General features: G+C 42.8%; 1 protein-coding gene across 5 annotated transcripts in view, besides 1 other annotated feature; it reads left to right on the top strand.

The window, feature by feature from the left end:
* Positions 1 to 3353, top strand: part of SGK1 (serum/glucocorticoid regulated kinase 1) — a 148857-nt gene extending 145504 nt beyond the window's left edge. For all 5 annotated transcript variants that reach the window (NM_001143676.3, NM_001143677.2, NM_001143678.2 and 2 more), the window contains 5 exons: positions 293 to 416; positions 877 to 972; positions 1431 to 1586; positions 1694 to 1783; positions 2174 to 3353. In NM_001143676.3, the coding sequence (NP_001137148.1) occupies positions 293 to 416; positions 877 to 972; positions 1431 to 1586; positions 1694 to 1783; positions 2174 to 2341 (634 nt within the window). In that variant the 3' untranslated portion in view covers positions 2342 to 3353. The remainder of the gene's footprint in view (positions 1 to 292; positions 417 to 876; positions 973 to 1430; positions 1587 to 1693; positions 1784 to 2173) is intronic.
* Positions 11606 to 12107: an enhancer, noted in NCBI's record as "NANOG hESC enhancer chr6:134481640-134482141 (GRCh37/hg19 assembly coordinates)". NCBI's record gives its function as "activates a minimal SCP1, AML or CMV promoter by ChIP-STARR-seq in primed H9 embryonic stem cells {active_cell/tissue: H9 hESC(primed)}" and the evidence as "EXISTENCE:reporter gene assay evidence [ECO:0000049][PMID:30033119]".

Below are 15106 nucleotides of genomic sequence, written 5' to 3'. Positions count from 1 at the left end.
CTGGCTGTTTCATAGGGCCTTAAAATAATTTGTGTTTATTTGCAACTTGGTTGCCTAAAACCAGATCCCCTAGCACGTGAGCTGGCTTGACTTAAGTGCCAAGGGGGAACCAGCCAAGTAGGATTGTGCCTAATCCAGAATAGATGAGCAGAACAAGGGCTCCCTTTTTTCTTCACTACACAACTACAGTGAACCTAAAATGCCTCTAATACCTTTAGCAATTATCTTTAAGAGGATATCTTATGAAGTGAAATTAACTTGTGCAACTACTTTTCTATTCACTTTTTTACAGAGACTTAAAACCAGAGAATATTTTGCTAGATTCACAGGGACACATTGTCCTTACTGACTTCGGACTCTGCAAGGAGAACATTGAACACAACAGCACAACATCCACCTTCTGTGGCACGCCGGAGGTAGGCGCTGTCTTGGTTTGGTGCCTGGTTTACCCCCGCCTTCCAAGAGAGAGATGTACAATCATGCACTTAACTACCAAAAAGAGTAAACTCCTCTCAGAGACTTCTTAATACAGTTCAGTGCAAATAAAATACATTTGCTGTTTGATGTAGCATGAGAAATCCCAAGTCCTTCTGTTCCTTTACTGAAAAGTAGCTGTTTGTAAGTAAGATCTGCATCATAAAAACTTTCTAAATCCCTAAGTAAGAGATATCAAGTGCCCAGCAGTTTCCTAAATGTCAGTACACATAGGTAGCCAGTCACCCTCAAAAAGTCCAGCAGTTTTATCAGGAAGGAATCTAAAGATATCTATCTTCCAAGCTGGCTCTGGGTCTCTCAGCTTTTTCAAACTAAATGTGTGGTCGTGGGATTGCTTGCTTTCGCAGGTTCTAAACGCTGTTTCCCTGGTCTGTTTTTCAGTATCTCGCACCTGAGGTGCTTCATAAGCAGCCTTATGACAGGACTGTGGACTGGTGGTGCCTGGGAGCTGTCTTGTATGAGATGCTGTATGGCCTGGTGAGTGGCACATTGGGAACCATGGAACACTGCCTGCTCCCTACAATATTGCCTTCACACAGCCCATGCTTGGCCATGGTGTCTTGCCCTTACCAGTACGCTTATCAAAAGCAGCTAAGAGGCATATTGGTTATTTTATAGTTCATAAGAATAATCACTTACCTGGTTCTTTTGTGCATTTCACATTTTACTAGATAGGACCACATTGAACCTGTGTGGTGGTGAAAAACTACCACTTATTAACATCTACCCCCTCACCCTCCACACACACACACACAAACACACACACGGGTTGCAAAGTAGACACTTAAATAGCAAGGGAAAAGAAAGCATTGAGGTGGGGAGAGTTTCTCAAATCGAGCCTAATATTTATTGCCGTTTATATCTTTTTCTCTACTGGTAATGTGTGCCATATGAAACTTCCAATTAAGTCTAAAGTAATTTTCCCCTTCTTTCAGCCGCCTTTTTATAGCCGAAACACAGCTGAAATGTACGACAACATTCTGAACAAGCCTCTCCAGCTGAAACCAAATATTACAAATTCCGCAAGACACCTCCTGGAGGGCCTCCTGCAGAAGGACAGGACAAAGCGGCTCGGGGCCAAGGATGACTTCGTGAGTGATGTTTTCCTGTCCTCCTGGGCCGGCCGGGACGTGCACTAGACCTCCCTGCCCTTATTGAATGCACCTGTCTAAATTAATCTTGGGTTTCTTATCAACAGATGGAGATTAAGAGTCATGTCTTCTTCTCCTTAATTAACTGGGATGATCTCATTAATAAGAAGATTACTCCCCCTTTTAACCCAAATGTGGTGAGTATCTGTCTCTCTTCTAAGTATAGAGAAGCCCAAAGGGCATTTATTTTAATTCAGAATTGTCTGGGGGAGGGTTGGAAGGAATACATTGGCAGATGTTTTCTCCATAAACCTGTTATTTTACCTACATAAAAAGCACATTTTTGTGTCCCAACAAGGCTCCCATAATTTTTAGACACATTTATCAATTCGAAGCACCAAAAGGCAACAAGTGAACATTATTCTTATGTTTAACTGTGTGTAGCCTTTTGAGATTTTGTGCTTGAAGTGGGTGATTATGGAAGTTGATATAAGACTTAAACTTGGTATTTAAAGCCTGGTCAAGATTTCCCTGTCCTGTGTCTAGTGTGAGTTCTTGACAAGAGTGTTTTTCCCTTCCCGTCACAGAGTGGGCCCAACGACCTACGGCACTTTGACCCCGAGTTTACCGAAGAGCCTGTCCCCAACTCCATTGGCAAGTCCCCTGACAGCGTCCTCGTCACAGCCAGCGTCAAGGAAGCTGCCGAGGCTTTCCTAGGCTTTTCCTATGCGCCTCCCACGGACTCTTTCCTCTGAACCCTGTTAGGGCTTGGTTTTAAAGGATTTTATGTGTGTTTCCGAATGTTTTAGTTAGCCTTTTGGTGGAGCCGCCAGCTGACAGGACATCTTACAAGAGAATTTGCACATCTCTGGAAGCTTAGCAATCTTATTGCACACTGTTCGCTGGAAGCTTTTTGAAGAGCACATTCTCCTCAGTGAGCTCATGAGGTTTTCATTTTTATTCTTCCTTCCAACGTGGTGCTATCTCTGAAACGAGCGTTAGAGTGCCGCCTTAGACGGAGGCAGGAGTTTCGTTAGAAAGCGGACGCTGTTCTAAAAAAGGTCTCCTGCAGATCTGTCTGGGCTGTGATGACGAATATTATGAAATGTGCCTTTTCTGAAGAGATTGTGTTAGCTCCAAAGCTTTTCCTATCGCAGTGTTTCAGTTCTTTATTTTCCCTTGTGGATATGCTGTGTGAACCGTCGTGTGAGTGTGGTATGCCTGATCACAGATGGATTTTGTTATAAGCATCAATGTGACACTTGCAGGACACTACAACGTGGGACATTGTTTGTTTCTTCCATATTTGGAAGATAAATTTATGTGTAGACTTTTTTGTAAGATACGGTTAATAACTAAAATTTATTGAAATGGTCTTGCAATGACTCGTATTCAGATGCTTAAAGAAAGCATTGCTGCTACAAATATTTCTATTTTTAGAAAGGGTTTTTATGGACCAATGCCCCAGTTGTCAGTCAGAGCCGTTGGTGTTTTTCATTGTTTAAAATGTCACCTGTAAAATGGGCATTATTTATGTTTTTTTTTTTGCATTCCTGATAATTGTATGTATTGTATAAAGAACGTCTGTACATTGGGTTATAACACTAGTATATTTAAACTTACAGGCTTATTTGTAATGTAAACCACCATTTTAATGTACTGTAATTAACATGGTTATAATACGTACAATCCTTCCCTCATCCCATCACACAACTTTTTTTGTGTGTGATAAACTGATTTTGGTTTGCAATAAAACCTTGAAAAATATTTACATATATTGTGTCATGTGTTATTTTGTATATTTTGGTTAAGGGGGTAATCATGGGTTAGTTTAAAATTGAAAACCATGAAAATCCTGCTGTAATTTCCTGCTTAGTGGTTTGCTCCCAACAGCAGTGGTTTCTGACTCCAGGGGAGTATAGGATGGTCTTAAAGCCAACCTACGTTCCAGGCCTTTTTAGCAGCATTTTATGGTGTCTGTCATTCATAAATCCATCCAAGGAAATCCTTTGCAATTTACTCATCTTGCAAGGATTGCTATGAAGTAATGCTTCCTGTATTTATTGCCTGTCCTGTGAAGTTGGACTATTTGTCCTGACATTTGGCTTGTCTTCAGTTACAGGTAATTCTTTCCAGAAATATTTGAAAGCCTACTCTGGGCTCTATTGCGAGTGCTCAGGATATCGTAGTGGACAAAGCAGACAACTTCGCCCTTCCAGAGCCTGATGAAGAAGGCCGACCTAAAGCAGTTAGTTGAGATGGAAATTGAGAAATAGTCTGTGAAGTTTAGGAGAATGCCACACAAGAGGGTGAGAATTTTTTTTTTTTTTTTTTTTTTTTTTGAGACACGGTCTTACTCTGTCGCCCAGGCTGGAGTGCAGTGGTGTGATCTTGGTTCACTGCAGCCTCCGCCTCCTGGGTTCATGTGATCCCCCCATCTCAGCCTCCTGAGTAGCTGGGACTACAGGCATGCACCACCATGCCTGGCTAATTTTTGTATTTTAGTAGAGATGGGATTTCACCATGTGGGCCAGGCTGGTCTCGAATCCCTGGCCTCAAGTGATCTGTCTGCCTCGGCTTCCCTAAGTGCTGGGGAGAATGTTTTAAATAAGTGGATATGTTCCCAAAAAGCTGACCTGGCTGGGACATCTGGTTTCTGAGAGTACCTGGAGTTGACCCAGGTCTAGAGTGAGCTCAGTAAAGGGACCCTGAAGGAGCTCATCCCTAGCTTGGACTGAAGCTTCTTGAGCCAGTGTCTACCTAGCACCCTAAGGGCCCAGCAGGCTCTGGGGCTGTGTGGCAGAGCCCACTCCTAGAGCTCACCCCACTGTGATATTACCTGTGGGAGAAAGCGAGGTGGCACCATCCTTGGAGATCTTGAGTCCAAAGGTTTGGACTTTTTCACTCTTCTAGGTCTTCCACACAAATACTTAACAAATAATCAGGGAATCCCCAAACAGTTGATGTTGCTGCTGCCTTAATTGCAAAAGCACCCTGTAGGCCTGCTGCACCCCCGCTACCCTGACCTTCCAGTTCGCACAGGGATTTCCCCAAGGGAAAGCTGTGAGCTTTTTTCCTCTTATCCTTGCTCTTGGGTCTCACCTCACTTTGCCTCAGTCCCCCTCTCCTACCCCACAAGGTTTCCAAGGGCCAAACAGGTGTTCAGAGATAACCGAGTTCTTCTCCCTCATGATCTAATGAAGGAAGAAGATGAAAACGAGTCGATAGCTTTTTGCTCAAGGTGGGCCACCGGTCATGCTCTGCTGTTGACTTACTGCTCTACAGGCATTAGCTACGTGTTCAATTCCCTACCGGGCCCAGTTGACAAATAAAGAGTCCAAAGCAAGGCCAGGCACGGTGGCTCACGCTTGTAATCCCAGCACTTTGGGAGGCCGAGGCGGGCAGATCACGAGGTCAGGAGATCGAGACCATCCTGGCTAACATGGTGAAACCCCGTCTCTACTAAAAATACAAAAAAATTAGCCGGGCGTGGTGGTGGGCGCCTGTAGTCCCAGCTACTCGGGAGGCTGAGGCAGGAGAATGGCGTGAACCAGGGAGGCGGAGCTTGCAGTGAGCCGAGATCGCACCACTGCACTCCAGCCTGGGCGACAGAGCAAGACTCTGTCTCAAAAAACAAAACAAAAAAAAAGCATGTATTTTCCTATTAAAGATTGATGCCGGCTCTAACATAGAGACTCATTGCATATTCCCCCTCATTCTCATTCTCAATAACAGTTATGAATTCCTCCTCGAACAAAAAGTGCTTAAATCTCATTTTCATCTGAACACAGTTCAGGTGGGCTTAGGAATCTGCAATCTAATTATAGATAACTCAGATGGGCCAGTCACGAGTTACAAAGCTTTTTTTTATGTTTTGAAGGTAGAATTCTGGTTTACTGGATTATAGTCCATCACTTCACATAGAAGATCTGAATTGTGTTTCTCCAGAATTGAAAGGTGCCAGAGGAGACCCAAACATTGTCACCCAGATGGGAGATAAGATCAAGCACAAGTGGGTGGGAAGAGAACAAGGCAAGAACAGGGAAGTCAAGAAAGAACAAGAGATCAATAAACAAATGACAAATATTTACTAAGCACTGTACTGTCAAATAATGTGTGTGCAGAGGTATCTTTTACCTAAGGGAGTGGGGCATATCCCTGCCAGCACATTCCCTGAGCCCCAGCCAGCCTGCCTTTGAGCACGACAATTGATTGGAAAAGGGATAATTGTCTTCTCCATAGCTCTCCAGCTGTAGGTCTACTCAAATATGGGTTTGGGGGAACCAATTCAGCTAAGATTCTCATAAGCTAAAATGTGTCTAAAACCACTGCTACCAAAAAGAATAAGTCAGTCACTGCCCTTACAGAATTTGCCATCCACCTGGGGAGACAGGCACCTACCCTTAACATGTGACAGGCAGTGAACAAGGGGTAAAGGGAACTTCAGACGTCCAGCGGCTCTCTGCGGGGTCGGGTGCCTAGAGCAGGCTTCATAGACGGGAAGCTCTAAGATTCTTCCTAACCAATTCTAGGAACTCTAATAGGATACAGGCCCTGAGGACCGGATTATAATCGTAATAGCTAATTCTACTGAGCTCTTATTATGTGTCAGACAATGTTCTAAGTTTGTTTTTTTTGTTTGTTTGTTTTTGAGACACGATCTCTATTGTCTGGGCTGGAGAAAAGTGGTACAATCATGGCTCACTGCAGCCTCAACCTCCTGGACTCAGGTGATCCTCCCACCTCAGCCAACCAAGTAAACAACGTTTTGTTTCTTAATAAGTCTTTTTCGGAGACGTGGTTTCACCATGATGCCCAGGCTGGTCCTGAGCTCCCTAAGTGCTAGGATTACAGGCATGAGCCACCATACCTGGCTGTTCTAAGTATTCTGTAGTCAAGCTGTTTACTCTTCATAACAATGCTGTGATGTCAAAAGTGAAGAAACTCGTACAGAACGGTCATTAGCTGGTCAGTAAGTGGTGAGATCGAAAGTCAAATCATGTCAATCTGGCCCAAAAGCCTATGCTTGTAGCCATTACTTTATCCGGCCTCAGAGGTGACAGAAGAGTATAAAAGCAAACAGCTGTGTACTTGTTAGTCATCCATTTATTAATTCACCAGACTTTTACAAAGATACCTTCTAGATGTCATGCTAGGCAAAAAGAGGGGGATGGAGAGGGAGAGGGAGAGAGAGGGAAAATTTGTAATTACAGACACTATCAGTGACTGATGAAGATAAGAAGCAGCTGCAAAAATATACATTGCAGTGGGAGTATAACTTGGTGCACCATTTTGGAAAACTGCTTGGCAGTATCTACTAAAGATGAAGATATCTATAACTTGTGGCCCAATCGTTCTCTTCCACAGTATAGACCCCAAAGACTGCACACATATGCAATACAAAATTTGCAATAGTGTTCCCAGTAATACTATTTATGACAGCCCCAAAATGGGAACCATTCAAAATGTCCACCTATAGGAAAATGAATAAAGAATTTAGTGTGGTTTCATATACTGAAATACTACCCAATGAAAATGAGTGAATAATTGCTATATACAACAAGGAATAGATCTCATAAACAAAACCCAGACTGTATGATTTGATTTATATAAAATGTAAAAGCAGGCAAACAGCATGAATTGATTTGGAAGTTAAGATGTGATCACCTTTGGGGAGGAAGGCAGAGCTCATAGTTGAGAGGGTGCATAAGGAAGACATCCTACCAGGTGCTGTTAATTTCTTGATCTGATCTTGAGCTTGATCTTGATTTCATCAAGCTATACACTTATGATACATGCATTTTTCTCTGTATGTGTTATATAACAAAAATGTGCATTATAAATATGTGGTATGATGAAAACAGGTGTTTGCGTACATAGGAGTGACACCTTACTCAACTTGGGGGGCAGGAAATGGGAGTACATTTTTAGGTAGTTTAGGAAAAAGGTGCTTAGGGAGATCTGGAGAATCCAGGTAGGCTGTCTTGGAGAACTGGATCTTGAAAATGAGGCAGAAAGGCCATTCCACATTCAGGCTTGTAGTGGGGGCCGGACTTGCATAAGGATAATGAATGGGACAGTGGCAATAGAAAGGGACCAGACAGACCTAGGGCAGAATCTCAGCTCTATTGACCAGCTTTCTTTCTTTTCTTTGAGACGGGATTTTTCAGTAGAGGCAGGGTTTCGCCATATTGGCCAGGCTGGTCTCAAACTCCTGACCTCAGGTGATCCACCCGCCTCAGCCTCCCAAAGTGCTGAGATTACAGGCATGAACTACCGTGCCCGGCTGAAAAAATTTTAAGTAGGGAGATGGACCATGTCTTTCATGTTCTTAATAATCCCACGGGGGAGACGTTTAGCTTTCATCAGATAGCAAAGGAAGCATTTGAAGGTTTTCCATGAGGAAAGTGAAGTGATTCAGAGTGTTTTACTGGCTATCACTAAGAGGTGTGAGAGCGAGAAAGCTTTGAAATTAATATAAAAGCCCCTTAGGAGACTTCTGACAGTCATCCCAGTGGTGGTGGTGAGTAAAGGACAGAGGAGATGTTTCCACGTTCCCACGTCAATGAGACTTAGTGAGTTACGATGGTGGAAGACGGATGAATGCAAAGCAAAGCACATTTCATGTAATTTACTTCTTTAATGTACTTGACAACTTATTGAAGCAGTTGTCACAGCTGCAATAATAGTTTCTAGGACAAAGGCCGCCCACCAGTTTCTTCAACATCCCCAGTATATAACGAATCAGCCAGTCAATAATCAATCAATTTAATTGGCAAGGCAAGACGTTATGCCCTGTAGTCAATCTCTAACCTATCCTGTTAAGTAATTTCTCTCCTCATCCTTCAAAAAGCCCCTAAAATCCAGCCTGGGCAACAAGAGCAAAACTCCATCTCAAAAAAAAAAAAAAAAAAAAAAAAAAGAAAAAGAAAGAAAGAAAGAAAGAAAGAAAGAAAAAGCCTCTAAAATCCTATGTAACATTCCTCGAGCTTTGTACTAGGGGTATAGCAATGTTAACACTTTTCCTGGTGTTAATCAGAACAATACTTCTATTAACAAAAACAACAAACCTGCACATATATTCCCTGAATCTAAAATAAAAATTGAAAAAAAAAAAAAACTACAAAAAACAAAATAGAAAATAAAAATGCAATCATCCAAATAAATTAAGCCAAATTTGAAAGTATTTAAATGTTTTTCTCATACTGCATGAAAAGTGTTAATTATTCAAACCAAAAATTAGCTTATTGCTTACACTTCACTGTAGCTTGCAAGTGATCTTTTCTAGTCTTTTTTTTCTTCTTTACATTTTTAATAATTTTGGTACTGCTGCTCCTTGTGAAGCAGGGTTAATTCATAGGCAGTGTGCCTGCAATCAGCCCTTTCCTAGTCTAATTTGGCCACTGCAAACAAATGTACATGAGAACACATTTAGTTTACATATAGTTTACATATGTTTTCTCTGCTTTCCACATGTTTTCTGTGAAAGACTTTATCAGCAAAATTATGAGCAATCATTAGAGGTTTTTGTTTGTTTGTTTTTGTTTTGAGACAGGGTCACCCAGGCTGGAGTACAGTGATGCAATCACAGCTCCCTGCATCCTCTGCCTCCCTGGCTTAAAAAAATCCTCCCACCTCAGCCTCTGGAGTAGTTAGGACTACAGGCATCCATCACCATGCCCCGCTAATTGTTTTTTATTATTTGTAGAGATGGGGTCTTGCTATGTTGCCCAGGCTAATCTCAAACTCCTGGGCTCAAGTAATCCACCCACCTTGGACTCTCAAGGTCCTGGGATTACAGGCGTGAGCCACCTCAGCTGGCCACTCCTTAAAGTTTACTCAGTGTGTGCCTATAACACTGTGTTCAGACAGATATCTTTGTGTATTTGGATGCCTTGGAAACCATGGACTCTGATGGGCAGGGTTCTGTGTTTCTTCTTTTCTGGGTCCTCTGTCCTGTGCTCCACCTAGTAGTGTATCACAGGCGGCATGATGGCAGTGTTATAATGACAACATGCCAAGTACAGACTGTTCACAAGGAAATATACAAGTAGACAAGCACTTCGTGGGAGCAGTAGACCAAGGGTCATCAGCATAAGGATGCAAGTCACTTGACATACACATACATAAAATAGATGAGTGACTGCCAATTTGTTCACGACACCTAGATGATTCCAACACCATTCTGCTCACTCTTCTTTTCTTGCTACTTTTGATAGACTCTTTTTTTTTTTTTTTTTAGATGGTGTCTCGCTCTGTTGCCCAGGCTTGAGCGCAATCTCTGCTCACTGCAGCCTCCACCCCCCAGGTTCAAGCGATTCTCCTGCCTCAGCCTCCTGAGTAGCTGAGATCACAGGTTTGTGCCACCACACCTGGCTAATTTTTGTATTTTTAGTAGAGACGGGGTTTGGCCAGGTTGACCAGGCTGGTCTTCAACTCCTGACCTCAGGTGATCAACCCGTCTCAGCCTCCCAAAGTGGTAGGATTACAGACACGAGCCACCGCGCCTGGCCTGAAAGTCATAGACTCTTAATGTAGCATTCCACAGGCCAAATTCATTGTCCTCCCTAACCCGAATGAACCCATTTGATTCCAAGAGTGTTACAGTTTTGCCAGCAAAGCTCAGCACATATCTGTCTGTTTCAGCAATCATTAGATAAGTTTATTTAATTAAATCAATTAAAATTTGGCTCAAAATGATCTGGGGTCCAAACTGAAAACTGTGATTATATTTTCCTCTGAAAGATTATTAAAAAAAGAGACAAACAGAAATGATCTGATATTTGAATTAAATCACATGCTACCTAACAATGAACACTTTGGGGTAAATTTAGAGAAAATACAATATTTCAAATCAAACATATATGACAGTTATTTTAAAATAAGGTAAATAAAACAATAATGAAATAAGGAAAAATAAAGAATGTGAATAAAATAATGTTTCCTTAAATTTTCCTTTTATTTATGTATGGATAACATGCTCATGTTTAAAATAAATAAAACAAAATATAATAGGTCAAAAAATGGGTAATAATTTTACAATCTCCCCTTTCAGCCATTCCCAGCTCAATTTCTTCTGGCTGGAGATAACCAATATTAAGCTTTTCTGGTATAAACTTTCAGAAATTTGGTATGCAAGTACAAGCATGAAGGCTTCCAGTAACACAGATGTTTCTAAATTAGAATTTAAGGGAATCACTTCTCAGGCTTTTGGCTGAGATTAAGGTAAAATTTTAAAGGAGGGAGAAGAGGAGGGGTCTCGCTGATTTTTTAAAAAAAGTTATCCCCATTGTTCATATTTTTTAAAAGTCCAGAAGCTCACTTGTGTGATTCCAGTGCTTAAAGATTTTTGGAGCAACATTACCCTTACAATGCACGCTGAGTTTTTCATCTGCTGCTGAATGCAGACCCAGGGATTTGCTTTCCTGCTACAGGAAAACAACAATAACAACAACAACAAACAAACAAAAACAAAGCAAACAACAACCACAAAATAAAATTGGTAGATGCATTGAGACACAGCATTGACTTTCAAGGTTGCCCTTTGCAACTACGTACAATTTTTGCCTCACCCCACACAGTCTTTAGAATCTGACATCTCACCTTTCAAAATGCAACTTCATCCTAGCTACAATCTTTGTAAAACAGAGTAGAAACCATCTTGAGTTTCCTGTTACTAAATAGTTCTTCTATGCCTAGGGCATACCTGAATGTTTTCCCAAAACCTTCCTGATTAGGGGGTACTTTCCCTTCCAGCCATTCCTGTGAGTCACTCTCACTATGAACTATCCTGTCCTTCCAATTCCATAGAGTCATAAAAACGCCAGAATAGGAAAGATCTCTAAGTCCAGGGGTCATAAACTTAATGGCTTCAGGAGCCAGTCCTATAAATCACATTAGAATATGGTAATCAGAGCCATGGGCAATGCATTTTCTCTTAAATGCCCTGAAATTAAAATAATAATGAAACCCAAAAACAAAACCACTGTCTGGCCAAGTAAAATGAGTCTGTAGCCAGAAACATCTGCAAAATTTCTAGTCTCATCTCATATGCAATTATGTAAAATTCAGTGAGCCCCCCTCCCCCACCACCCCAGGTTTTGCATTCTCATTCTTTCCTTATCTTTTGGGCAGTAATTTGGCATTGGACGTCGCAAAGTCCATCCCTCCAAGATGGTGGTCAATAAAGACTGTCTGCAGCTTCTAACCATATCCACACACCTGGTGGGCCCAACTTCCATCACAATCCCATTCCCACTTTGGGAAAGAAAGCAGACAGGCTCTTAGTCATTAACGAGGAGCATTTGATAGGCCCTTTTTAAACAGACCATTCACTCACTCACAAGGGAAAATGGATCACACATTGTTTATAATAATCTGAAGAATTTTCTGTCATTCTGTAAAAGGACAAGGCATCAGCTTGGCTAATTATCCAGAGTTACAATGAACAGGACACCAAGGAAAGGTATGGTGAGGGAGGCAGCATGGTGAATAAGGAGAACCTCTGACTTTTGAAAACTGGCTCCACTTCTTAGTCTCTTCTTTCCCAAATTGGGACTAAAAGCGCTTGTTTTGTACTGCTGAGGATCTGAGGTAACTTACATGCCAGGGACTCAGAAACAATGTTTTGTAACTTCGTAAGTAAGAAAGTAACAATGCTTTTAGCACTTGACCCCAGAGCTGGAGTCTGGGACTATTGGGACCTTCTTTGTGCTTCATGACTTAAAATATTGTTTCCTGTGAATTTCTCCTGTTGGGCATCTTTAAAAGCACGGAGAACAGCCATGTACCCTCAGACCCCTGGACATGCATACTTTTCCAGCTTCCACAGGCAGATCAAGAAGATTAAGATATTTAAGTAAATAATCCCATGTCCCGGTTTTACAGCGCTTAAGACGTGAAGCCCACAGGAATCTTTTTTTTTTTTTTTTTTTTTTTTTTTTTGAGACAGAGTCTCGCTCTGTTGCCCAGGCTGGAGTGCAGTGGCATGATCTTGGCTCACTGCAAGCTCCGCCTCCTGGGTTCACGCCAGGAGTTCACATGGGTTCACACCAGGAGTTCACACCTGGGTTCACGCCTACCTCAGCCTCCCGAGTAGCTGGGACTACAGGTGGCCGCCACCACGCCCGGCTAATTTTTTGTATTTTTAGTAGAGACGGGGTTTCACCGTGTTAGCCAGGATGGTCTCGATCTCCTGACCTCGTGATCCACCCGCCTCGGCCTCCCAAAGTGCCAGGATTACAGGCGATGAGCCACCGTGCCCGGCCAGGAATCTTTTAAAACTTTTTCTAACAGTATCCTTTTGAGAGTTTTGTTATTTGGTAGAAATGAGTTTTTATATACATCTCAAGGTGCTCAACTGTCCCTTGGTACCCGGGGGCAGGATTGGTTCCGGGGTCCCCGCAGATACCAAACCCTGTGAATGCTCAAGTCGCTTAAATAAAATGGCTTAGTAGGCCAGGAGCGGTGGCTCACGCCTGTAATCCCAGCACTTTGGGAGGCCAAGGCGGGTGGATCACGAGGTCAGGAGTTTGAGACCAGCCTGACCAACATGGTGAAACCCCGTCTCTACTAAAAATACAAAAATTAGCCGGGTGTGGTGGTGCGTGCCTATAATCCCAGCCACTCGGGAGGCTGAGGCAGGAGAATCGCTTGAACCTGGGGGAGCGGAGATTGCAGTGAGCCGAGATCAAGCCACCGCACTCCAGTCTGGGTGACACAAGGAGACCCTATCTCAAAAAAAAAAAAAAAAAAGGCTTAGTATTTGTGTATAACCTATGCACACCCTCTCGTATACTTTAAGTCATCTCTAGATTATTTATAATACATAATACAATGTAAATGCTATGTAAATAGTTGTTCTACTGTATTTTAAAATTTGTATTTTTTTTACTGTTGTATTTTTTTTATTGCCTTTGGGTTTTTGTTTGTTTGTTTGTTTTTTGTTTTTTTTGAGACGGAGTCTTGCTCTGTCACCCAGGCTGGAGTGCAGTGGCACGATCTTGGCTCACTGCAAGCTCCGCCTCCTGGGTTCACGCCATTCTCCTGCCTCAGCCTCTCGAGTAGCTGGGACTACAGGCGCCCGCCACCACGCCCGGCTAATTTTTTGTATTTTTAGTAGAGACCAGGTTTCACCGTGTTAGCCAGGATGGCCTCGATCTCCTGACCTCGTGATCCACTCACCTCAGCCTCCCAAAGTGCTGGGATTACAGGCGTGAGCCACCGTGCCTGGCCTTTGGGTTTTCAATAAATATTTTTCTTTCTTTCTTTCCTTCCTTCCTTCCTTCCCTCCTTCCCTCCCTCCCTCCCTCCCTCCCTCCTTCCTTCCTTCCTTCCTTCCTTCCTTCCTTCCTTCCTTCCTTCCTTCCTTCCTTCCTTCCTTTCTTCCTTCCTCCCTCCCTCTCTCTCTCTCTCTTTCTTTTTGATGGAGTCTTGCTCTGTTGCCCAGGCTGGAGTCCAATGGCGTAATCTTGGCTCACTGCAAACTCTGCCTCCCAGGTTCAAGTAATTCTCCTGCTTCAGCCACCCGAGTTGCTGGGATTACAGGACCTGACACCATGCCCAGCTAATTTTTGTATTTTTGGTAGAGACAGGGTTTCTACTAAAATAAAAAATAGCCTAAAAGCACATTTGATTTTTGTGCCAGGCAGGTCTCAAAATCCTGACCTCAGGTGATCCACCCCCCTCAGCCTCCCAAAGTGCTGGGATTACAAGCACCTTGAGATGTGAGCCAACATGTCTGGCCTCAAAAAATATTTTCAATTCATGGTTGGTTGAATCCATGGATGTGGACCCTGTGGATACAGAGGGACGACTGCAACCGTTTATTTAAATTGATTTTGAAAATGTTTCACATTGGCTGGTCACGGTGGCTCCCGCCTGGAATCCCAGCACTTTGGGAGGCCGAGGTGGGAGGATAGCTTGAGCTTGGGAGTTTGAGACCAGCCTGGGCAACATGGTGAAATCCCATCTCTACCAAAAATACAAAAATTAGCCAGGCTGGCGATGCCCTTGTGTTCCCAGCTACTCAGGAGGCTGAGGTAAGAGGATCGCTTGAGCCTCGGGTGTTGAGTCTGCAGTGACCCTATCTCAATAAATAAATAAGTGAATAAATAAATAACCTACATTCACAGAACACTTCTCTCATGTTGACTCATTTTATCTTCTTATCAGACTAGTAAGACAAAGAGGGTAAAATATTTCTATTCAATATGTTAATACCGAGGCTCTGAAAAGTTCAAATGACTCGACACCTATGGAGAGGGCGGAAGGGCCAGAGTTGGAATCCACTGTTTCTGACACCAGAGCCTTCACTTCTTCCCAGGCCTCCTTTGAACATCATGGCATATTTACTGAGCGTGAGCAAAGGAGCCACTGCCAGGAATATATAGGCCAGCTATTTTAGTCTCCCTTCCACTGGGATTACTTTTTTTTTTTTTTTGAGATGGAGTCTCACTCTGTCACCCAGGCTGGAGTGCAATGGCACGATCTCGGCTCACTGCAACTTCCGCCTCCCAGGT

The sequence above is a fragment of the Homo sapiens genome, chromosome 6, assembly GCF_000001405.40.
Source record: "Homo sapiens chromosome 6, GRCh38.p14 Primary Assembly".
NCBI lineage: Eukaryota > Metazoa > Chordata > Mammalia > Primates > Hominidae > Homo > Homo sapiens.
The sequence above is the reverse complement of the archived record's forward strand: the minus strand, read 5'-3'. Positions and strand labels throughout refer to the sequence as shown.